This window comes from Homo sapiens, chromosome 16 (assembly GCF_000001405.40).
Source record: "Homo sapiens chromosome 16, GRCh38.p14 Primary Assembly".
NCBI classification, from domain to species: Eukaryota; Metazoa; Chordata; class Mammalia; order Primates; family Hominidae; genus Homo; species Homo sapiens.
This window is the reverse complement of record NC_000016.10, coordinates 11,207,144-11,229,688: the sequence shown is the minus strand read 5'-3', so window position 1 is coordinate 11,229,688 and position 22,545 is coordinate 11,207,144. Positions and strand designations below refer to the sequence as shown.

The following is a 22,545-nucleotide window of genomic DNA, read 5'->3' as shown; positions in this document are numbered from 1 at the left end:
CTCTAGCCAACAAACCTGTTAAACAGTACGTGGGCTGGGCACGGAGGCTCACCCCCATCATCCCAGCACTTGGGAGGTGGAGGTGGGAGGATTGCTTGAGCCCAGGAGTTTGAGACCAACCTGGGTAACACAGCAAGGCTCCGTTTGTACAAAAATTATTTTAAAAATTAGCTGGGTGTGGTGGTGTGCGCCTGTGGTCCCAACTACTCTGGAAGCTGAGGTGGGAGGATTGCTTGAGTTGGAGAGGCTGAGGCTGCAGTGAGCCAAGATCATGCCACTGCACTCCAGCCTGGGTGATGGAGCAAGAACCTGTCTCAAAAACAAAACAAGCAAAAGCAAAAAACTAACAAACAAAAAATCAGTATGTCAGAGGGAAGTAAAGTAAAGCAGGCAGTGGCGGGTGGGGTGTGGCTAGGAGGTGCCAGGTGTGGGTTGGTATTTTATTATGATGGCTAGGGAAGCCTTCTCCAAGAAGCTGGGAGCTGGAAGGGATGAGCAAGCTGCCCATCTGGACGTAGAGCCTTTCAGGCAGGTGGAAGAGCAGGTGCCAAGGGCCTGAGGTAGGACTGTTCCCAGTGTGTTCAAAGAAAGGTCAGTGTGGCTGCTGCAGCATGCGTGAGGGGTGAGAAGTCAGAGGTGAGGATGGAGAGGTGAGGAGTAGAATCAGATCACGCACAGACCATGGGTCCTGGAAAGGAGCGAGGCTTTGAGGCAGAGTAGGACGGGAGTGTCCTGAGCACAGAAGATTTTAAATGAGATGGTGCATGCACGACCATCTGCAGTGTGCCTGGCGCGGAGCAGGTGCTCCCTAATTGCTGGCTGTTACTATTACTGTTGCTGCTGTTGTTATTATTGAGAGACTAAGAAGCACATTGGAAACCATGAAAACCCAGAGATGCAAATTTTAATTGCCAGAGAGAGATTTTTCAACATTTTCAATGTGCTGTCATGAAGTATGAACCATGCAAATGTAGGTTTGACTACTTCGTTTTGTGGAAGAGCCACCTACGGCTAAGAGAGGTTAGAAGACTTACCTGATGTTGCACAGTGACAAAGGGTGGAGTCCAATTCACCAGAACCCAGGTCTGTCTCCTGAATCCAGGATCGTGACTGCTGGTTTGGCCGTGGGGGCTGAGAGGCCTTGGTACAGTGGGCAGACGGGAGGTCCCTGTATATGAAGGGCAGAAGCTTGGGGCTGCACCTGGGACCCTCCAACATCATTGGGAGAAAAGCCTGGAGCTCTCAAGCTCTGACCTGGCACAGTCAGGCAGACACGGCTCACAAAGACCAAAATAACCAGAGGCATCATTAAGGATGTCTTCGGGGTCAAGTAAAAGGAATCCTGATGTAAACCGGCTTAAAGAATCTGGAAATGGGCCAAGCATGTGCGGCTCACACCTGTAATCCCAGCACTTTGGGAGGTTTAGGCAGGAGGATCGTTGAGGCCAGGAGTTCAAGACCAGCCTAGGCAACATAGTGAGACCGTGTCTCTACTTTAAAAAATATTTTTTTAAAAAGGATCTGGAAATGGGCCAGGTGTGGTGGCTCACATCCGTAATCCTAGTGCTTTGGGAGGCCAGAGTGGGAGGATTACTTGAGGACAGGAGATCGAGGCTATAGTGAGCTATGATCACACCACTGCACTCCAGCCTGGATGATAGAACAAGACCCCATCTCTTAAAAAAAAAAAAAAAGGAAGAATCTGGACATGTAATATCTTGTTCAATAGGAAATCCAAGTTCATTTTCCTTCCATCTTTCAGCTGATATCTCGCTGTTGGTTTTATCTGAGGTCAGTCCTAAGAGGGCCAGTGAAGTTTCAGCCACCACATCAGGAAGAACAGAAAACCATGTCTCTCCCTGGGGCTTCCCTTAGGAGCAAGGAAAGCTTTCTTCATGTCTCATTGGCCAGAATTGAGTTACCTGCCCATTGTTGAAAGTCAGTGACCTAGCCGGGCGCGGTGGCTCACACCTGTAATCCCAGCACTTTGGGAGGCCGAGGTGGGCGGATCACCTGAGGTCAGGAGTTCAAGACCAGCCTGACCAACATGGAGAAATCCCGTCTCTACTAAAAATACAAAAAAAATTAGCCAGGCATGGTGGTGCCTGCCTGTAATCCCAGCTACTCAGGAGGCTGAGGCGGGAGAATTGCTTGAACCTGGGAGGCGGAGGTTGCGGTGAGCCGAGATCGCGCCATTGCACTCCAGCCTGGGCAACAAGAGCAAAACTCTGTCTCAAAAAAAAAAAAAAAAAAAAGAAAAGAAAGTCAGTGACCAGGAACTGGAAGTTTTTTTTGAGACAGGGTCTCACTCTGTCTCCCAGGCTGGAGTACATTAGAGTGATCACAGTTCACTGCAGCCTCGACCTCTCAGACTCAAGCAATCCTCCCACCTCAGCCTCCCAGATAGCTGGGATACAGGGAAGCACCACCACACCCGGTTAATTTTTTATTTTTTGTAGAGACAGGGTCTCACCATGATGTCCAGGCTGGTCTCAAACTCCTGGGCTCAAGACGTCCTCCCGTCTCAGCCTCCCAAAGTGTTGGGATTACAGGTGTGAGCCACCTTGATTGGCCTGGAACTTAATTGACAAGGGATGATTGTTGGGGAGTTCATCAGAGTGATTGAAAAACCAGCCCTGCCAGGCGCAGTGGCTCACGCCTGTAATCTCAACACTTTGGAAGGCTGTGGTGAGCAATTCATTTGAAGACAGAAGTTCGAGACCAGCCTGGCCAACATGGTGAAACCCTGCCTCTACTAAAAATACAAAAATTAGCCAGGCGTGGTGGCAGGCACCCGTAGTCCCAGCTACTTGGGAGGCTGAGGAAGGAGAATAGATTGAACCCGGGAGGTGGAGGTTGCAGTGAGCTTACGACAATGCACTCCAGCCTGGGTGACAAAGCAAGACTGTTTCAAAAAAAAAAAAAAAAAAAAGAAAGAAAGAAAAGAAAAAGAAAAACCATTCCTAACTCTTCATCCCTCCCTGTGTCCCTGCCCTTGGCAGTGTGACTTTGCTACTTCTCCCATCAAGAAGTTGAGTCTAGATCCCCATCCCTAGAATTGGGCTGCTTTGGCCAATAGGATGAAATGAAGGGATGAAGTGACGCGGTGATGTGCTAGATCTCAGCCTAGGCCTCAAGACACCTGTGGCTTCCACTTGCTCCCTCTGGACTCTGCCAACACCGGGAGAACAAGCCCGACCTCTCAGACTCAAGCAATCCTCCCACCTCAGCCTCCTAGATAGCTGGGATACAGGCAAGTGCCACCACAGGCTGTTGGATGATGAAAGTCACATGGAGCAAGAGGAACCCTTCTCAAGCCCTGTACTCTGTGCCCCAGGACCTTAGCATGTGCTGACCGTGCCCTCTGGACTGCTCTGGCTCATCTCCCGTGACTTAAGGCCACTGTTCTGTTTGGAGACTCAGCTCAGGCAACCCTCTCCCAAGAGGCTTTGCAGAACCATCCCCGGCCCCAGCCTGGGTCGAGGGCCTCCAGGGTTTCCTGTAGCCCAGTTTGTGTCACTCTGCTTTGTGACTCTCTATTCTTCAGTCCAGCTGCCTCATTCACAGATATGGAAACTGAGGCCCAGAGAGGGGAAGTGACTTGCCCAAGGTCACCCAGCTGAGGGCCGTGTTCGCTGCTCCTCCAGCAGGTTTTGTTCTTTCCTTTCCTCAGCATCTCAACCCACGAGAGCCTGGATGTGGCGGTCCCATGGCGGGAGAGGGGGCCTGTGCCCCCACCAGGTGCCCAGTCTCGAGTCAGGATGAGACTCCTGGAGGGTCCCCTGGGAGTCTCCACTGGCAGCACCCCCTCCCCACATCCCCGCAAGGTGGGCATGAGCAGCATTCCCTCTTCAGATGAGGATGTGAGGCTCAGAGGGAAGAGGCGGGCCCGGTCACGTGGCCATGGAAGGATGGGGGGATCTGATCCCAGACCTTTCTACAGCCTGCATTTGGCCTTCTCCATGGCTTTGGGGCAGAGCCAGGGCCGGCCACCACGGAGAGGAGCAGACAGAAACCCAGGGCGGGCAACGGGGAGGTCTCAGGCTGGATGGTGGGGAACCACCGAGGCAGGAAGACGCAGAGCAGAAAGTGAAAGGAACCAGAGGCCTAGAATAGCTGCGGGTGACAGAGCCAGGGGACTACAGACGCTGCCAATAAGAGAAACCAGGCGGCCCACGGAGGGGCGGGGCACCCACTCCTCAGAGAGGCGGCCCCTAGCTGAGGAGGCCCATGGCCAGGTCCCTGCTAACCCGGGCAGCCCCCGCTTGGCTTGGCAGCCTGGGTGGATGCCCAAACTGTGGGAATGGAATTGGGGTGAAGGGCTGTCTTGGGGCAGAGAGGGGCCCACTTCTAACTTTAGGCCGACCTCTGCATCATTTGGATCAATCACCATGAGCTTATAAGATCTGGGACCTGCAAAGCTCATCAAACAGTGCAGCTGGTGAAGCGGGGGCCGTGCCGTGAAGACAAGCCTGTTGGTTAACATCTCCTAGTGGCTGTCGATGTCTGTCTCCGGTGGCAGTTCCCTGCTGTGGTTATGCTGCAGGCTCCAGAGCCAGGCGGCTGGGGTTCAATCCGGGCTTGGCCTCTTGCTGGCTGTGTGACCTTGGGCAAGTCACTTCACTTCTCTGGGCCTCTGTGACTAATATCACTGACTTCACGGGGGTGTCCTGAGGATTAGCTGAATGAGTATAAGTGAAGCACATGGAACAGCTCAGAGAAAGTGCCTCATAAACAGCTTTTATTATCCACTGTCTCCATACACTGTATAGACACACACACACACACACACACACACACACGGGGAAAGTCCCTCCAGGATGTGCACAGGGACTCTTTTTTTTTGTTCACTTCTGTGTCTTCAGGGCCTAGAACAGTGGCTGGCACACAGCGGGTGCTCAATAAATGTTTGTGGAATGGAAGGAGCAGGGGAAGGAGGCGGGGAGGGAAGGAAGGGATGGGAGCGAACAGAAAGTCGGCTATTGCCCAGCGTGGGGCATTGATTCTGTTGCTGTGTTTCATTCCCCTATCACATTGCCATGCACCGCTTTGGTTAATTGAAAAACACTTGTCTTCAAGGAGAGCCAGCAACAGAGCAGGGAGGTGGCTTGCAAGCTGTGATGGTCTTTCAGTTCAGGCTGGCCCCAAGACACCCCCACCATGGCCTGCTAAGATCCCCAGAGACCCCCCTCTCCCGGGCCAGGGCCGGCGGTGGCAGCTGTGCGGCGTGTGGGCAGCTAGAGAGGTGACAGGAAGCTCAGCAGGACAGGCTGTTCCCAGCCTACCAAGAACCTCGAGGCGAGAGGACAGGCTGTTCAGGGCTGAGATCTGCATGCTCCCAGCCCCTCCCGCCCAGGGGAAGTGTCACCAGCATCCAGGGCGGGGACCTCTGCCCTGGCCTGGAGATCTTGTTGCTCTTCTGATCTCTGTGAGGAACTCGGCCCGCTTGCTTTCCAGGAACTGCCTCCTGCAACCGGCGGGCAGATGGTTCACAGGGAAGGCCCGGGGGCCCAGCCCTGCCTACCTCGCACCCTGCGCTGGGCTGCTTCGGACATGCCACTCACCTCTCTGGGCCTCAGCTTCCCCACCTGCAAAACAGAGAAAATAGGGCACCACATGTAGGCATACTGTGAAGATTCAGAGCAAAGTTCAACTTTTTTTGTTTTACCATTAATTACTTTATTTATTTATTTTTATTTATTTATTTTCCTGAGATGGAGTCTCACCTGTCCCCCAGGCTGGAGTGCAGTGGCGTCATCTTGGCTCACTGCAACCTCCACCTCCAGGGTTCAAACCATTCTCCTGCCTCAGCCTCCCGAGTAGCTGAAATTACAGGTGCATGCCAACACGCCTGGCTAATTTTTGTATTTTTAGTAGAGATGGGGTTTCACCATGTTGGCCAGGCTGGTCTCGAACTCCTGACCTCAGGTGATCTGCCCGCTTCGGCCTCCCAAAGTGCTGGGATTACAGGCATGAGCCACTGCACCCAGCCCCATTAATTACTTTAAAACAAATGGTGGCATCTAGGCACAGTGGCTCATGCCTGTAATCCTAGAATTTCGCAAGGCTGAGGTGGAAGAATTGCTTCAGGTCAGGAGTTTGAGACCAGCCTAGTCAACGTGGTGAAACCCCATCTCTACTAAAAATACAATAATTAGCTGGGTGTGGTGGCACACACCTGTAATTCCAGCTACTCGGGAGGCTGAGGCATGAAAATAGCTTGAACCTGGGAGGCAGAGGTTGCAGTGAGCTGAGATCATGCCACTGCACTTAAGTCTGGGTGACAGAGTGAGAATCTGTCTCCAAAAAAGAAAGAAAGAAAGAAAAAGGTGGTAAAATACACATCACATAAAAATCACCAATTTAAAGTACAGTTAGGTAGCATTTAGTACGTTCACAGTGTTATATAACCATCAGTCTAGTTCCAGAATGTTTTCCCCACCCTAAAATACAACCCCATATTCATAGCAGTCACCCGCCCAACCGCCCTTGTCCCAGCCCCTGGTAAACCCTAATCTATCTTTCTTTCTTTCTTTCTTTCTTTCTTTCTTTCTTTCTTTCTTTCTTTCTTTCTTTCTTTCTTTCTTTCTTTTTCTCTTTCTTTCTTTTTCTTTCCTTTCTTTCTTTCTTTCTTTTTCTTTCTTTCTTTCCTTTCTTTCTTTTCTTTCTTTTTCTTTTCTTTCTTTCTTTCTTTTCTTTGTTTCTTTCTTTCTTTCTTTCTTTCTTCCTTCCTTCCTTCTTTCCTTCCTTCCTTAATTCCTTCCTTCCTTCCTTCCTTCCTTCTCTCTCTCTCTCTCTTTCTTTTTTTGAGACAGATTCTCGCTTTGTCGCCCAGGCTGGAATGCAGTGGCGCCGTCTCAGCTCACTGCAAGCTCCATCTCCCAGGTTCACGCCATTCTCCTGCCTCAGCCTCCCGAGTAGCTGGGACTAAAGGGGCCCGTCACCACGCCCGGCTAATTTTTTGTATTTTTTAGTAGAGACGGGGTTTCACCGTGTTAGCCAGGATGGTCTCGATCTCCTGACCTTGTGATCCACCCGCCTTGGCCTCCCAAAGTGCTGGGATTACAGGCGTGAGCCACCGTGCCCGGCCAACCCTAATCCACTTTCTTCTTCTGTGGATTTGCCTATTCTGGACATTTCATATAAATGGAATCATACAGTAAGTGGCCTTTTGTGTCTGACTTCTTTCACTCAACATATTTTCAAGTTCATCCACTTTATGTAGCATGAATCAGTCTTTTATTACCATGATTCCTACAATCCATTCATTACTTTAAAAAAAAAAAAAAGGACTTCAAAAAGTGTTTATCGGCTGGGTACAGGGGCTCATGCCTGTAATCCCAGCACTTTGGGAGGCCAAGGCAGGAGGGTCGCTTGAGTCTAGGAGTTTCAGACCAACCTGGGTAATATAGCAAGACCCTGTTTCTACTAAAAATACAAAAATTAACCAGGTATGGTGGTGCATGCCTGTAGTCCCAGCTACCAGGGAGGCTGAGGTTGGAGGATCGTTTGAGCACAGGAGTTTGAGGCTGCAGTGGCCTACGATGGTGCCACTGCATTCCAGTCTGGGTGACAGAGGGAGACTCTGTGTCATAAAAAAGTGTTTATCAAGGGAAAACACAATCACTTACATGCACGCATCTGAGTGTCCAACTTGGTGAGTTCTGACATAGTTTTATGCCCACAGAGGCACCACCCAGACTGAGGTCCAGGGCGTCTCTAGCACGGTCCCTCAGACCCTCCCCACCTCCTGGCCAGAGGCAGCCCCTCCTCTGACTTTTGACACTATTGATGAGTTTAGCCTGTTGCTTCAGATGAGTGAAAGTGGACAGTGGGGATGTTTTCTAGCTCATCTCATTCCCTCAACGCCATGTCTGTGAGTTTCATTCACATCGTGTACGGCAGGAGTTTGTTCTTTTGCATTGCTGAGTGGTATTCCACTGCATGGCTGTTTCACACTTTATTTTTATTGTATTTTACTTTTTTATTGAGAAGGAGTCTCACTCTGTCATCACCCAGGCTGGAGTGCAGTGGTGCAATCTCAGCTCACTGCAGCCTCCACCTCCCGGGTTCAAGTGATTCTCCTGCCTCAGCCGCCTGAGTAGCTGGGATTACAGGCACCCGCCACCACACCTGGCTAATTTTTGTATTTTTAGTAGAGACAGGGTTTCCCCATGTTGGCCAGGCTGGTCTCGAACTCCTGGCCTCAAGTGATCCCCCTGTCTTAGCCTCCCAAAGTGCTGGGATTACAGGCGTGAGCCACTGCGCCCGGCTCCTCTTTCACACTTTATTTCTCCATGACCCTGTTGGTGGACATTGGATTTGTCTCCCCTTGGGGGCTATCCTGAGCCATGCTGCATGTGCAGGCCTGTGGTGGGCAGGTGCCTCGTTTCTCCAGGTTTTTGCCCAGGACTGGGATTGCTGGGTATAGGGTATGTGTATGGTTAGCTTTTGTGGACACCGTTCATATTTCAGATGGGTTGAATGACTTCCATTGCCCATAGTGGCACCTGAGAGTCGCTGGGCTTCCCCATCCTGAACAACACTCCGTACGGCCAGCCCTGCTGATTTTCATCCTCCTCTTGAGGGCCACTGTCACTTCTTTAGATGAAGTAAATATAATGATGAGAGAAAATAGCAACATAAATAGCCAGAGTTGATAATAATAGGTGGCTAATGCCTTCCACCACCCCAAGCCCTGGGCCAAGCACTCACATCACAACCATCCTAGGAAGTCCAGTGATTACCCCCCATTTTACCCCCATTTACCAAGGCACAGGCAGGGCATGGTGGCTTATGCCTGTAATCCCAGCACTTTGTCAGTCTGAGGTGGGAGGATCACCTGAGCCCAGGAGTTGGAGACCAGCCTGGGCAACATAGTGAGACTCCGTCTCTACTAAAAATAATTTTTAAAATTAGCTGTTGTGCACCCTTAGTCCCAGCTACTCAGGAGGCTGAGGCAAAAGGATGGCTTGAGCCCAGGAGGTCAAGGCTGCAGTGAGTTATGATTGTGCCACTGCACTCCAGCCTGGGCAACAGAATGAAATCCTATCTCAAAAACAAAACAAAACAAAACAAAACAAAACAAAACAAAACAAAACAAAACACCGAACAGAAACTGAAGCACAGAAGAAGGGGTCTCATGGGCTGCCAAGGTCACACACCCAGCAGAAGGAGCTTAGTCTCGAGTTGAAAAACCTCAGCCCACCTGGACCCCGGCCCCGACTCTGCCCTGACACAGGGCCCAGCAGGCTGTGGTTTGGGGATTTCTCAAAAGGACCTTCTGGAGCTCTATATGAGAAGCATAGATGGAGAATCCGACTCTCATCCTGCAGCCCCTCTCACACTCACCACACACCCATACACACTCAAGCATACACACACTCACACAAATGCATTCACACACATGCTACGCCCAAACACATTACACCCTCGCAAACACACACCATACATCTCATACACCACACACTCTTATACAATATACATATGCCATGCATTCTCACACACACGCTTACACACTTCCACACTCGCACAAATACCCCGCATGCATATATTCACATGTTATCACACACCTACTATGAACATACACCACACATTCCCTTACACTCAGCCTTTAGAAAGCACAAACTAGTCTGGAACACTTCTATACAAAAGGCAGTGGCAGGCTGGGTGCAGTGGCTCATGCCTGTAATCCCAGCACTTTGGGAGGTTAAGTTAGGAGGATCACTTGAGGTCAGGAGTTCAAGACCAGCCTGGCCAACATGGCGAAACCCCATCTCTATTAAAAATACAAAAATTAGCCAGGCGTGGTGGTGCACCCCTGTTATCCTAGCTATTCAGGAGGCTGAGGCAGGAGAATCGCTTGAACTTCAGAGGCGGAGGTTGCAGTGAGCTGAGATCATGCCACTGCACTCCAGCCAGGGCGACAGAGTGAGACTCCGTCTCAAAAAAAAGAAAAAAAAAAAAAGGCAGTGACAGGCAAGGGGACATTACTTCAAAGCTAATTCCCCCATTCCTGCTCCCTCCTGTATTAAAATCTAAGAAGGGTCCTATGGAAAATATCCCCCAGTGGGCAGCACTGGTGACTTCTGGGGGGCTGGGGATGTTCCACCAACAGCCCCACCAAGTCTGTAGTGCTTGTTACCCCGTGTCAGCCTGGGTACTGGCAGCCTTCTCTGGATTATCTCTCTTGACTGTCATCATGATGGGTCCGGTCCAAGATAGGATGTTATCCCCATTTTGCAGAGGAGGAAGTTGAGGCCCAGAGCAGGAAGTCACTCGGTCTAAGGCTCTTGCTCAATGTTGCATTTACAGAGAGAGGCTGCATTTGCCTCTTTGCTTTCATATCTGTCCTCTTGCTCAACTCTGTATGGTGAGAAGCAACATATCCTAGGCCTCCTTGCCAATTGACTCTCTACTGAGTTAAACAAATGGGAAGCCTGGCGGGAGGCTGAAGAGTGAGAGGAAGGGATAAACATGGTATTTCTCCCTCTCTCTGCTTCAAGTGGCATATTTGCAGCAGCAGGGACTTCTTTGTGGCTCCAGCATCCCTGGCAAAGTCTAGCCTTTGGAATGGTTCAGTTGCCATTCCTGCATTTCAGATGGCCCCAGCTCCTGGGCTCTGGTAATACAGGGTCCTCCGGTTTTCCCTCTTGCACTCCGGGTGGTACTGGCTTCCTGCTGATGCTCATCTCTGGTAGTCTCATCATTCATGTATCCATTTCCCTCTGTTTGAAATACCTGATGTGGTTTCTGTTTCCCTGAGTGGACCCTAATGGACATGCACCAAGGCAGGGATTTGAACCCAGATCCTGTGACTCCTGAGACTCAAGTGTAATCATTCTGTGACACTGTCTCTTAGTTGAGCCTTCCCTTGAAATTGTCTCCAGCTCCAGAGATTGCCCCATGTACATGTGTCTCTCACCTCCCTTTTGTCTAATAGAGCTGAGTTGCAATACCACTTATCACCAGTAGGGAGAAACCCATTCGGTGGCAAGTGCTCTGGCAGAATTTCATGTTTAGAAAGCTTTCCTCCTAACTTGTTCCTCAGTTGGATCAGAAAGCAAAAGTAAATTTAAATTTAAAAGAAAGGTCTCCTCCTACTAAAGGGAGTAATAGCTTCATTTGTTTGTTAACCAGCAGGGTAGTTAACTGTAAGACCATCTGGCCAGTTGAGATCCTCAATGAACAGAATTCTCAGCAACAGTGGAGAGTTTACACATTCCTCCCTGCCTACACAACACTGGCAGGAAGAATGGATGCACAGTTTTCCAGCGGTTTTTGCCAAAAATAGCTCCCAGAGGACCCAGGCATGGAACTTCTGATCTATTTCAGTGTATTCTTTGGGTCTAGAAATTTCTTATGGCTGAGCTGGAAAGTTCGACACAATGAGTTGTTTCCCTCTTTCAGCAAGCAACCCATGTAGGAGGGTGGGTCTGGAGCCAGAAAGACCCAAGTTAGCATCCAGGTCTTTCAGTCACCTGCTGTGATGCCTTGGGCAAGTTGCTGAACCTCTCTGAGCTCTGTTCCTCTTCTCTGTAAAATGGGGTTGATAATACTTGCCCTGCAAGATTCTTGGGAGAATTAAATGAGCTAAAGTGTATAAATGCTTGCTATACATTAAAAAAAATTGCTCATATCCTTTATTCTAGTTTTTTATGGTTTATTTCTGTTCCATGAAGACTAAGGCCTCAGCTGGGGAGGGGGTCACTCAAAATGTCTGGAGACTACTTCACTCACATGTCTGGTGGCTTTGTTGGCATGACTTGAAGGGTGGGTGTCACCATCACTGGGGACAGTGACTGATGTGCTGACATGTGGCCTCTTCAAGTGTCTTGGTCTTCCTTTCAGCATGGCAGCCTGAAGGAGTCAGACCTCTTAAGTTGCAGGTAAAGGCTCCAAGAACAAGTCTTCCAGCAAACAAGATGGAACTGTATGACCTTTTATGACCAAGTCTCAGACATCCCACGGCATTACTTCTGTAATACTCTCCTGGTTGAATTCATCAAAAGCCCACTCAGTTTCAAGGGGAGGAGATATAGATTCCATTTCCTTTTTTCTTTTTCTTTCTTTCTTTCTTTTTTCTTCTTTTTTTTTTTTTTTTTTTTTGACAGGGTCTGGCTCACCCAGGCTGGAGTGCAGTGACATGATCTTAGCTCACTGCAACTTCCTTCTCCTGGGTTTAAATGATCCTCCCACCTCAGCCTCCTGAGTAGCTAGGACTGCAGGTATGTGCCACCACGACCAGCTAATTTTTGTATTTTTGGTAGAGATGGGGCTTCACCATGTGGCCCAGGCTAGTCTCAAACTCCTAAGCTCAAGCAACCCACCTGCCTCGACCTCCCAAAGTGTTGGTGTAACACCTGGCGTAGACCCCACTTCTTAATCCAAGAAGTGGCAAAGACTTCACAGCTGTGTTTTCAAAGCACCACCCCTTTCGACTAGGCCAGTCCATCCCAGAGTATCACCCCATCAGATACGGGAAATAATGCCTCTGCAAATCAGATGGTCACTGCAGCCCTGATGGTAACAGCAAATGATCAGGAAAAACCCAAAGGTCCATCAATAGTGGGCTGGGTAAATACATCATGATGTTCCCACACAGTGGAATACTATGCAGTTTAAAAAATAGGCTGGGTGCAGTGGCTCACGCCTGGAATCCCAATATTTTTTGGGAGGCTGAGACAGGAGGAGCACTTGGGCTCAGGAGGTCGAGACCAGCCTGGGCAATATAGTGGGGCCCCATCTCTACAAAACATTTTTTGAAAATAATTAGCCAGGCATGGTGGTATGCACCTGTAGTCCCAGCTACTTGGGAGGCTGAGGTGGGAGGATCGCTTGAGTCTGGGAGGTTGAGGCTGCAGTGAGTTGTGATCGTGCCACTGTACTCCAGCCTGGGTGACAGAGTGAGACCCTAGCTCATATAAATGAATAAATAAATAAATAAATAAAAAACAAACAAGGTTATTCTGTGTATATTGATATAGAACCATTCTGAATGCTATTGTGCAGTGAAAAAAGGCAAGGTGCAGGACACTGTGTGTGCTAGGCAGCCTCCAGATGACCCACAATGATTCTCACCTCTTGGGGCCTAATGTTGTCCTCTCCCACATTAACTAAGGCTGTGTAATTAGGAGGATACAGTGGAAACATGTCTTCCAAGGCTAGGTCATAAATAATATTGCAGCTTCCACTCTGTCCTGTCTTGGACCACTTGCCCTGACAGAAGCCAGCTGCCATGTTGTGAGGACACTCAAGCAGCCCTATTGAGACATCTATGTGGTGAGGAGCTGAGACCTCCTGCCAAAAGCCACATAATGAGCCATCCAGAAAGTAGAGCCTCCAGCCCCAGTTGAGCCTTCAGATGACAGCAGCCCTGGCCAACTGCTTGACCACAGCCTCACGTGACACTGAGCCAGAATCACCCAGCTGAGTTGCTCCCAAATTCCTGCCCCTCAGAAACTGTGAGATAAAAAAGGTTTATTCATATTTCAAGCTGCCAAATTTTGGGCCTAACTTGCTATGCAGCAATAGCAATAGATAATGAATACAGTATGTACATGGATTCGTCCATTCTGACATTGCTATAAAGAAATACTAAAGACTGAGTAATTCATAAAGAAAAGAGGTTTAGTTGGTTCACAGTTCTGCAGGCTGTACAGGGAGCATGGCGCTGGCCTCTGCTCAGCTTCTGGAGAGGCCTCAGGAAACTTCCAATCATGGCAGAAGGCAAAGAGGGGGCAGGCATGTCACATGGCGGGAGCAGGAGCAAGAAGAGATGGGGGAGGTGCTATACGCTGGTAAATGACCAGATCTCATGAGAACTCACTCACTATCACAGGGATAGTACCAAGAGGGACGGTGCTAAACCACTCATGAGAAATCCACTCCCTTGATACAATCACCTCCCACCAGGCCCCACCTCCAACATCGGGGGTTACAATTCAACCTGACATTTGGGTGGGGACATAGATCCAAATCATATCAGTACAATAGTCTAACATTTGAGTAAATGTATTAAGTATTTCTGGAAGGAGGCCGGGCCTGGTGGCTCATGCCTGTAATCCCAGCACTTTGGGAGGCTGAGGTGGGCGGATCACCTGAGGTCAGGAGATTGACACCAGCTTGTCCAACATGGGGAAACTCCATCTCTATTGAAAATACAAAATTAGCTGGGCATGGTGGCAGGCGCCTGTAATCCCAGCTACTTGGGAGGCTGAGGCAGGAGAATCATGTGAGCTCGAGGGGTAGAGGTTGCAGTGAGCCAAGACCACACCACTACACTCCAGCCTGGGCGACAAGAGCAAAACTCCGTCTCAAAACAAAACAAAACAAACAAAAAAACAAACAAACAAAAAAAAACGGCTTGGCGTGGGGGCTCATGCCTGTAATCCCAGGACTTTGGGAGGCCAAGGCGGGCAGATCACGAGGTCAGGAGTTCGAGACCATCCTGGCCAACATGGTGAAACCCCATCTCTACTAAATTAGCTGGGTGTGGTGGCACATGCCTGTAGTCCCAGTTACTCAGGAGGCTGAGGCAGGAGAATCGCTTGAACCTGGGAGGCGGAGGTTGCAGTGAGCCGAGATCGTGCCACTGCACTCCAGCCTGGCGACAGAGCGAGACTCCATCTCAAAAATAAAAAGTATTTCTGGAAGGAATTGAGGAAACTGGTATCAGAAAGGGAACTGGGGTGGCTGGGGGACGACAGGGGCCAGCAGGGAAAGAGACCCTCTTATCTCTTTTGCATTTTGAACCATCTTTTCTTAAAATTGAACTAAATGTCAAATCAATAAATAAAAACAAAGTGCTGGTTTTTTGTTTTGTTTTGTTTTGTTTTGTTTGAGACGGAGTCTCGCTCTGTCGCCCAGGCTGGAGTGCAATGGTGTGATCTTGGCTCACTGCAAGCTCCGCCTCCTGGGTTCAAGTGATTCTCCTGCTTCAGTATTCTGCGTAGCTGGGACTACAGGCACCCGCCAGCACGCCCGGCTAATTTTTTGGTATTTTTTAGTAGTGACGGGGTTTCACCGTGTTAGCCAGGATGGTCTCGATCTCCTGACCTCGTGATCCGCCCGCCTCGGCCTCCCAAAGTGCTGGGATTACAGGCGTGAGCCACCGCGCCCGGCCCAAAGTGCTGTTTTCAGGCAGCCCCTACTAAGTAGCAGCTGTGATTATTCATGTCACAAGTAGTTCTCAAGCTGCCAGAAGCTTCCTGTGTGTATATGTTGGCTAGACCTGCAACCTCCATGGGTTTATGAAGAATAAGGTAGGCCCAGGGCTGAGAGGTACGTAGAAGCCCCATCATATACTAGCTGTGCGCTAGGGGTGGGCCACTTAACCTCTCTGAGCTTCCATTTCCTACCTGAAAAACAGGGATCATGGATAAAGTCATATGGGCCACGTGTTCAGCTATACGCCAGGCATGAGGTAAACACTTAATAGATTTGACTGTTATTATTGTACTTTTTTTTTTTTTTTTTTTGAGATAGGGTCTCCCTCATCTGGAGTGCAGTGGCACAATCGTAGCTCACTTCTGCCTCAAACTCCTGGGCTCAAGCATCCCCTCCTGCTTCACCCTCCCAAGTAGCTAGAAGCACGCCACCATGCTTGGCTAATTTTTAATTTTTTTTGTAGAGACAGAGTCCCGCTATGTTGTCCAGGCTGGTCTCGAATTCCTGGCCTCAAGTGATCCTCCTCCCTTGACCTCCCAAAGTGCTGGGATTACAGGTGTGAGCCACTGCACCAGCCAGATTTGGTTGTTTTTATTAATAAGGGCCAAAGATCCTGTCTTGGGCAAGGAGAAGGGAGGAACACACTGAGCCCACTGTCGCCACCCGAGGAGGTGGGCTGGAGTAGGTGGCCCACGGGGAACAAAGCTTCCCAGGATAGAAGGTGGGCAAGGGGTTATGAAGGCACCAAAGAGAGAAAGGGAGACTCCACCTGTGCACCCAGCACCCCTACCCCTCATCTCTCCCCATGCAGTATGGTGGGAGGGCAGCCCTGACTGCAGGGAAATCCACGCCTGCGCCCCTTCCCCCACCACCTGGCCTGATGGGCAAGTGCAGAGCAGGAGGCAGCTCACACTCCAGAAGGAAGAGGCGCACCCTCTCCCAGGGCCCCGGGTGTGTGCTGGGTGCCACACAGCCCTGCGTTCCAGCCATCCCTGAAGGACCCACACTAGGACAGGGCAGGACAGGGACCCACCAACCATGAGGCAGCCCCTGGAGGAGTGGGAGGGTCAAGGGGTACAGGAGGAGCTGGGGATCCCTGAGGTTGGGGGCTGCCCTGGGTGCTTGGCTCTCTCCTCCTGCTGTGCCAGAAAGGGTGCTTGGGTGACAGGCACCCACATGCCTCCAGATTACAGGGTACCAGGGCATGGCAGCAGGGTGGGCCTGGGGAATTCCCACATGGCAAACCTGTGCATCAGCCTGGTAAGGCAGAAGGGGTGTCAGGAAGCCAGGCTGTGGCTCCATGTCACTGCATGACCTCGGCAAGTCGCTTCTGCCCCTGTGCCCGGCTCTCCCGAGCTGTCGAGTGAGGCGTGGCCTCTGGGCCCCGAGGGGTTTACGGGTTGCCTGGGAGCAAGACAGAGATGAAAGGACAGGTTGGCAAGCCTGCCTGACTCTGAGGATGACTGGAGATGGTGCCCCTTTGGGGCAAGTCCCTGCGGAGGCACCTCCTGTCCTGGCCAGGGATGTGGGGGTCCCCTGCTCATGACTCACGCTTTCTGGGACTGACATTGTCCCCTGGGAGGCGCTTGCCAGGAAGGGCCTGATCTGGCCCTTTCTGCCCTGTGCAGATGTCTCAGCCTTAGCTGCGCCTGGCCCAGGCCAGGAAAATGCTGGCCGGCTCCGCCCCACGGCAGGGAGGGGGACGGCGCTGAGATGTTGGGGGCCTTTCTTCTGGACAGTGGACTGCATCTGTGCTCAGCTTGGTCGCTGCCCTGATGATTTTTGGCAACACGAAACTGATATAACCACTTGTCCTCAAGGAAACTGCACCCTGAAGCCATCCCTCGATCTGAGTCAGGGATCCCTGTCTGATGCGTCCCGTCTCGGGACTGGCCACCCTTGCACAAGTCAAAACCTTGTGCAAACGCCTTTCCTTCTTCTTCTCTCAGCCCCCAAATCTGAAGTCACCGTCCTTAGTGCATGTTCCCTAGAAGCTGACCCTAGACAGGGGTTTGGTGACCATGACATGGTGCTGGGTCACCCCGTAGGAGTCCTGATCAGGGGCAAGGGAGCTGGAATTTTATGCCCACCGCATGTGATTGGTTAAGGGATCCCCCCCTTCTGCCCTCTGGGCAGTGCGTGAATTCCTGGGAGCTTCTGCCTCTCCAGGGGTTGCAGGCAAAGCTGGTTCCAGCAGCAAAAGATGGCGCCTGACTAGAAAATGTAGGTAGCTGCTGCTGGCAGAGAAAGTTCCCTGGGGGGAGGGGTAAAGGGATGGGGGCTAGGGGAGGAATCTGGGAGGAGTTTGGGCAGCGCCTGCGACAGCAGCTGAATGCTCTCCATTTGACCTCTATTTCTGGAAAACATTTGCTTCTCTCCCTTCCCACAGCCGCCCTTATCTGTCACCAGGACACCCAGGAGCTTCCCAACTAAACTCCCTGCAGCTCCATTAACTACTACCTACCCAGGAGCAGAGGGACTTTCTAATGCCTATCTGAGCCAATTTTCTAGATCAAGCCGATTTTCTAAATGCCAATCTAGTCACTCTAACCACCTGCCCTCCGGTGGGCTCCCCCAGCCCTTAGTGGTCACAGACTCAGCCGCCCCCAGGCACAGGGAGGTGCCATGAATGAATGAAACCAGGGTGGCCACTGCAAGCCCATAGCCCTCCCCAGATACCTGTTTGATGGAGACAGCAGTTGAGAAATGCACCTCACCTCTGAGAAGATGACATCATAAGTGTGATGATGGATTGGTGTGGTGCAGCGGTAGGGGAGTGGAGGGTACAGGTCCCGTTCAAAGGAGGCAGCCTCTGCTCGGCTCCAGCAGATGGTTCTTGCAGGGCTGAGGGACAGCATGTGCGAAGGTCCTGGGGCAGGAGCGGGGCACAACCATGGGAGATGCAAAGGAAGGCCAGTGGGGCTGGAACACTGGGGAGGGGCTGGGAGATGGGGGTAAAGGAGGGGTGAGGGGCCTAGACCCTGCACTGACAGCAAGCCAGGTGGGCTGGGGGGCAGAGCAGTGTGATTCACGCCAGAGGAGATCAGGAGATCACCTGTGGTGTGGGCAGAGTTGGGATCATCGAGGAGGGGCCAGGAGACCAGATGGGAGGTTTCTGCCATGGATGGTCCAGGTGGGAGATGAGGAGGTGTGGACCCGGGCGGTGGCCTCAGGGAGGAGGGGATGAACAGGCTCAGGATGTGGTGAGGAGGCCTTGCTGAAGGGCCAAGTGTGGAGCCGGGAATGGCTGTGGCTGCATGTCAGTGGACTCGAAGGCTGGAGGCCGAGAGAGGGAGCCATCTACTCCAGAGTGCATCTCACTGCTGCTTCCAGGAGCCCTCAGGGCACCTGGGCAAAGACTGTCCTGGAGGGTCGTAGAGCCCCTTGGGGAGGGTAGGAAGGGCACCCGGGCTCCCACCCTGTCAGTAAGGTCAGATCAGCCCCACATCAGTTCTGGGGTGCAGGGGGAGGGAGAATAAAGAGGAAAAGGACCCAGGAAGCACTACATGATCCTAGAAGGGGCTGGGCACGGTGGCTCCCGCCTGTAATCCTAACATTTTGAGAGGCTATGGTGGGAGGATCACTTGAACTTCAAGGAGTTCAAGAACAGCCTGGGCAACACAGTGAGACCCCCATCTCTACAAAAAGTTAAAAAAAATTGTTTTAAATAGAAAAGCTCCAAGAAGGGGTGGAATCCCTAAAACATCTCCCACGCTGCACACCCAGGTGCTGGTGCTGGGTTTCCTCACTCACCTGCAAGGTGGTGTGAGGGGGGCTGGAGTCCACCATTGCAGGCTGAGGACTCAAAAGCTTGGAGAGGGAAAGGCCCTGCCCAAGGCCACCCAGCTAGAGGGAGAGGGTGTCATCCCCAGCACAGCCATGACGCCCCCATCTCTGCTTCCTCTTAAAGCCATGCAGAGGCCGCCTGCCCCCGCCACCAGCCCCCTGCCCTCCTGTGTTCAGCAAGCCCTGGCCACAGTCGTGACTTGCCTGAGACTTTCCCTGTCCTGGCCTTGCAGGGTTTGGTTCTGATTCTCAAAGCAAAATGGCCTCCTCTGTTGCTAAAATGTCTTCTCAGAGGATGGCGGCTTCCCAGCGGAGCTGTTGTGGGCACGAGGGGAGGAAGGAATACACAGGGGGTGTACCAAAGAGCTGCTTACCATCTTCCAGGCTCTCTGCTGAAGGCCGTGTGTGTTCCCCATTTTTTTTTTTTGAAACGGAGTCTCCCTCTGTCACCCAGGCTGGAGTGCAGTGGCGCGATCTCTGCTCACTGCAACCTCCGCCTCCTGGGTTCAAGCGATACTCCTGCCTCAGCCTCCTGAGTAGTTGGGATTACAGGTGCCCACCACTACACCTGGCTAAGTTTTGTATTTTTAGTAGAGATGGGGTTTCACCATATTGGCCAGGCTGGTCTTGAACTCCTTACCTTAAGTGATCTACCCACCTCGGCCTCCCAAAGTGCTGGGATTACAGGCATGAGCCACTGCACCCAGCTTGTGTTCCCCATTTACGGAGGAGGAAATGAAACGCGGTGAGGCGAGGAAGCAGACAAAGACAGAGCCCACTGGAGCCCTGGGCCCCTCACTCAGCTTTTAAATTGTGTGATTTGGAGGAAGAAGAAAATCAAGTACCTTGTGCAACTCTGTGTCCCAAGTTTTCATCCCTAAAATGACCCCACAGGACGGTTTCAGGATATTCTTCTGCGCCCGAGGGATGAGGTTCAGGGGACTCTGGGGGATGAGGCTGGTGCTGTTTGGGGTGCAGGGGTGAGCCCCTGAAGCAGCATCCATCCACTGCTTCCTGTGGCCAAGCTCCTTGCCCAGGGAACTCCCGGGCTGGCAGGAGGTGGCCGGGTGCCCTGTGTCTCCTTTCCCCATTTTCCCAGTCCTGTTGACTTTTCCTCCAGACCCCAGCTGTCCCATCTGAGTCCTTCTTTCTGTCTAGACAGAGGTGGCCCTGGCTGTGCCTCTCCTTTGGAACCCATGGCCCGAGGGGCGTGCTTGGCAGTGGTATGGAGTTGACAGACCTGCTTTCTATTCCTTTTTTTTTTTTTTGAGATGAGTCTTGCTCTGTTGCCCAGGCTGGAATGCAGCAGTGATCTTGGCTCACTGCAACCTATGCCTCCCGGGCTCAAGCAATCTTCTTGCCTCAGCCTGAGTAGCTGGGACTATAGGCACCCGCCACCATGCCAAGCTAATTATTGTATTTTTAGTAGAGATGGGGGTTTCACCATGTTGGCCAGGCTGGTCTCAAACTCCTGACCTCAGGAGATCTCCCTGCCTTGGCCTCCCAAATTGTTGGGATTGCAGGCGTGAGCCACTCAGCCCAGCCCTGTTTTCCATTTCTGAATCACATCTGCAAGTCTGGGTCAGCTTAGCTGGGAGGCAAGGGCACAAAGTCGGCCCTGGTGGGGAAACCCTGAGAACGAATCAGGGCTGTCCAAGTGTGAGGCAAGTGACATGTCCAGGCAGTCATGAAATTCCAACCTCACTTCCTCTTTTTTTTTTTTTTTTTTAGAGACAGGCTTTCACTCTGTTGCCCAGGCTAGAGCACAGCAGCACAGCCTTGGCTCACTGCAGCCTCGAACTCCTGGGCTCACGGGATTCACCTGCCTCAGCCTCCTGAGTAGCTGGGACTACAGGTGTATACACCACCACACCCAGCTAATATTTTAGCTTTTGTAGAGACAGGGTCTCATTATGTTGCCCAGGCTGGTCTCAAACTCCTGGGCTCAAGCGATCCTTCCACCTCAGCCTCCCGAAGTACCAGGATTACAGGCATCAGCCACCATGCTCAGCTCAACCCCACTTTCTTACGATCATGGTAGGTCACCCAAGCCTTCAATGGCTCCCCAGGGCCAGTCACACTGAATCCCAGGTCTGCCCTTGCTCATTGCCACTGCCTTGATCTTCTTTCTGGCCTCCAGGACTGTCTGCTGGGACCATTGCCGTAGTCTTTTGCCTGGTCCCCTACTCTCCCAGTCTTGCCCCATCTGGTCTAGCTTTTCCTCCTAGCAGCAGACTGAGCTTTCTGGAACCCAAATCTGACCACGTCCCACCTCCACTTACAGTATGTCACTGGGTCCCACTGCCCGCAGGCTGGCATCCAAGCTTGCTCTCGCCCTGGCATTCAGGATCAGCTGCCTTGGATCTACCCCCTGCCAACAGGTCCCCACCGAACCCCACAATCTGACCCAGATGAGCCATCATCCCCAACACTCCCTGTCGTGTCCCGGAAGCCTGACCTTGACCCTGGTCAGCTGTTTCCCACACCCCGAATGCACTTGCTGTCCTTCCCATCAACATGGGCTCCTCCTTCAAGGTTGGTCCGAGTGGTTGCCCCCAAGAGGGGCCTCCAGGATTCTTAGTGACAAGTGACAGAATCCAAATGTGGCTCATTCAAGCAGAAGAAAAGGTATTAAACAGATATTGGGGTATGCAAAACTCCCAGGAAGGCAGGAGGATCCCATGGAAAAGGGGAGGCAAGACGTCACCCCTATTCCTACCACAGAGCCAGCCTGGTGAAGTCCTCCTTCTTCACAGCTGCCAGGAACTCCATGTGGCCCAGGCTCCCCCCAGAAAGAGTCCTGGACAGGACAAGCCTCCAATTCAAACTCCAGAGCAGGTGCCTCTGATTGGCAGAGTCCAGTCACATGCCATGCCCTAGCTGCAAGGGAGGCAGGGAAAGTGGGTGTGGACTATTTGGGCTCCTCCCATGGAAGGCGGGCTCTACTTGCCCATTGTCCTATGTGGGAGGAGTTTCCTAACTCTGGGGTGGGAGTTCAGAGAGTTAGGGCTCATAGACTAAGGCTCTGTGCCTCCCCAAACCTCAGCATTCCCCATCTCAGGAGAGGCACAGTCGAATATCTGGTCACTCAGTCCTTGACACAGCCCTCTGCTGCACCCCAAGTCCACAGGTTCGACTTCCTGCGTGTGTCTTGCACCCATGGGCATTTCCACATCTCTGCCTCCTTCTCTGTGCAAGCTTCCGTGATGAGTCTCCCATGCAGTGGAGGAGACAGGCACTAAAATCATGAGGACAGCCCAGTGTGATACATGCTGTGATGGGGACATGCAGGGAGCCTAGAGGAGGCACCTGGTCCAGCTGCGGGCATCTGGGAAGGCTTCCTGGAGGTGACACTGCTGAGTGTTGGAGAAAAAATAGGAATTATAGAAACAAAGGTGTTAGGCCTTGTGCAGTGGCTCACAACTGTAATCCTAGCAGTCTGGGAGGCCAAGGTGGGCGGATCACAAGGTCAGGAGTTCGAGACCAACCTGGCCAACATGGCGAGACCCCATCTCTACTAAAAATACAAAAATTAGCTGAGCGTGGTGTACATGCCTGTAATCCCAGCTACTTGGGACGCTGAGGCACAAG

The 22,545-nt window shown here is 51.7% G+C and overlaps 1 long non-coding RNA gene across 7 annotated transcripts, besides 7 other annotated features; it reads right to left on the bottom strand.

Annotated features, from left to right (window-relative positions):
• Positions 3,635–4,194: an enhancer, noted in NCBI's record as "active region_10424". NCBI's record gives its function as "activates an Ori minimal core promoter by ATAC-STARR-seq in GM12878 lymphoblastoid cells {active_cell/tissue: GM12878}" and the evidence as "EXISTENCE:reporter gene assay evidence [ECO:0000049][PMID:35858748]".
• Positions 4,625–4,704: an enhancer, noted in NCBI's record as "active region_10423". NCBI's record gives its function as "activates an Ori minimal core promoter by ATAC-STARR-seq in GM12878 lymphoblastoid cells {active_cell/tissue: GM12878}" and the evidence as "EXISTENCE:reporter gene assay evidence [ECO:0000049][PMID:35858748]".
• On the bottom strand, positions 4,725–18,754 carry LOC107984859 (uncharacterized). 7 transcript variants are annotated; one of them, XR_001752080.2, is made up of 5 exons: positions 18,224–18,754; positions 17,886–18,012; positions 16,414–16,572; positions 5,565–5,588; positions 4,725–5,467 (listed from the first exon to the last, which is right to left on the bottom strand). It is a non-coding gene; the product is annotated as an uncharacterized LOC107984859 (long non-coding RNA). The 7 variants fall into 7 exon arrangements; XR_005647017.2 differs by having other exon boundaries at positions 17,886–18,754; XR_007064984.1 differs by lacking the exon at positions 16,414–16,572 and having other exon boundaries at positions 17,886–18,037.
• Positions 5,185–5,234: an enhancer, noted in NCBI's record as "active region_10422". NCBI's record gives its function as "activates an Ori minimal core promoter by ATAC-STARR-seq in GM12878 lymphoblastoid cells {active_cell/tissue: GM12878}" and the evidence as "EXISTENCE:reporter gene assay evidence [ECO:0000049][PMID:35858748]".
• Positions 16,334–16,383: an enhancer, noted in NCBI's record as "active region_10421". NCBI's record gives its function as "activates an Ori minimal core promoter by ATAC-STARR-seq in GM12878 lymphoblastoid cells {active_cell/tissue: GM12878}" and the evidence as "EXISTENCE:reporter gene assay evidence [ECO:0000049][PMID:35858748]".
• Positions 16,574–16,833: an enhancer, noted in NCBI's record as "active region_10420". NCBI's record gives its function as "activates an Ori minimal core promoter by ATAC-STARR-seq in GM12878 lymphoblastoid cells {active_cell/tissue: GM12878}" and the evidence as "EXISTENCE:reporter gene assay evidence [ECO:0000049][PMID:35858748]".
• Positions 18,306–18,900: an enhancer, noted in NCBI's record as "H3K4me1 hESC enhancer chr16:11304646-11305240 (GRCh37/hg19 assembly coordinates)". NCBI's record gives its function as "activates a minimal SCP1, AML or CMV promoter by ChIP-STARR-seq in primed H9 embryonic stem cells {active_cell/tissue: H9 hESC(primed)}" and the evidence as "EXISTENCE:reporter gene assay evidence [ECO:0000049][PMID:30033119]".
• Positions 20,628–20,697: an enhancer, noted in NCBI's record as "active region_10419". NCBI's record gives its function as "activates an Ori minimal core promoter by ATAC-STARR-seq in GM12878 lymphoblastoid cells {active_cell/tissue: GM12878}" and the evidence as "EXISTENCE:reporter gene assay evidence [ECO:0000049][PMID:35858748]".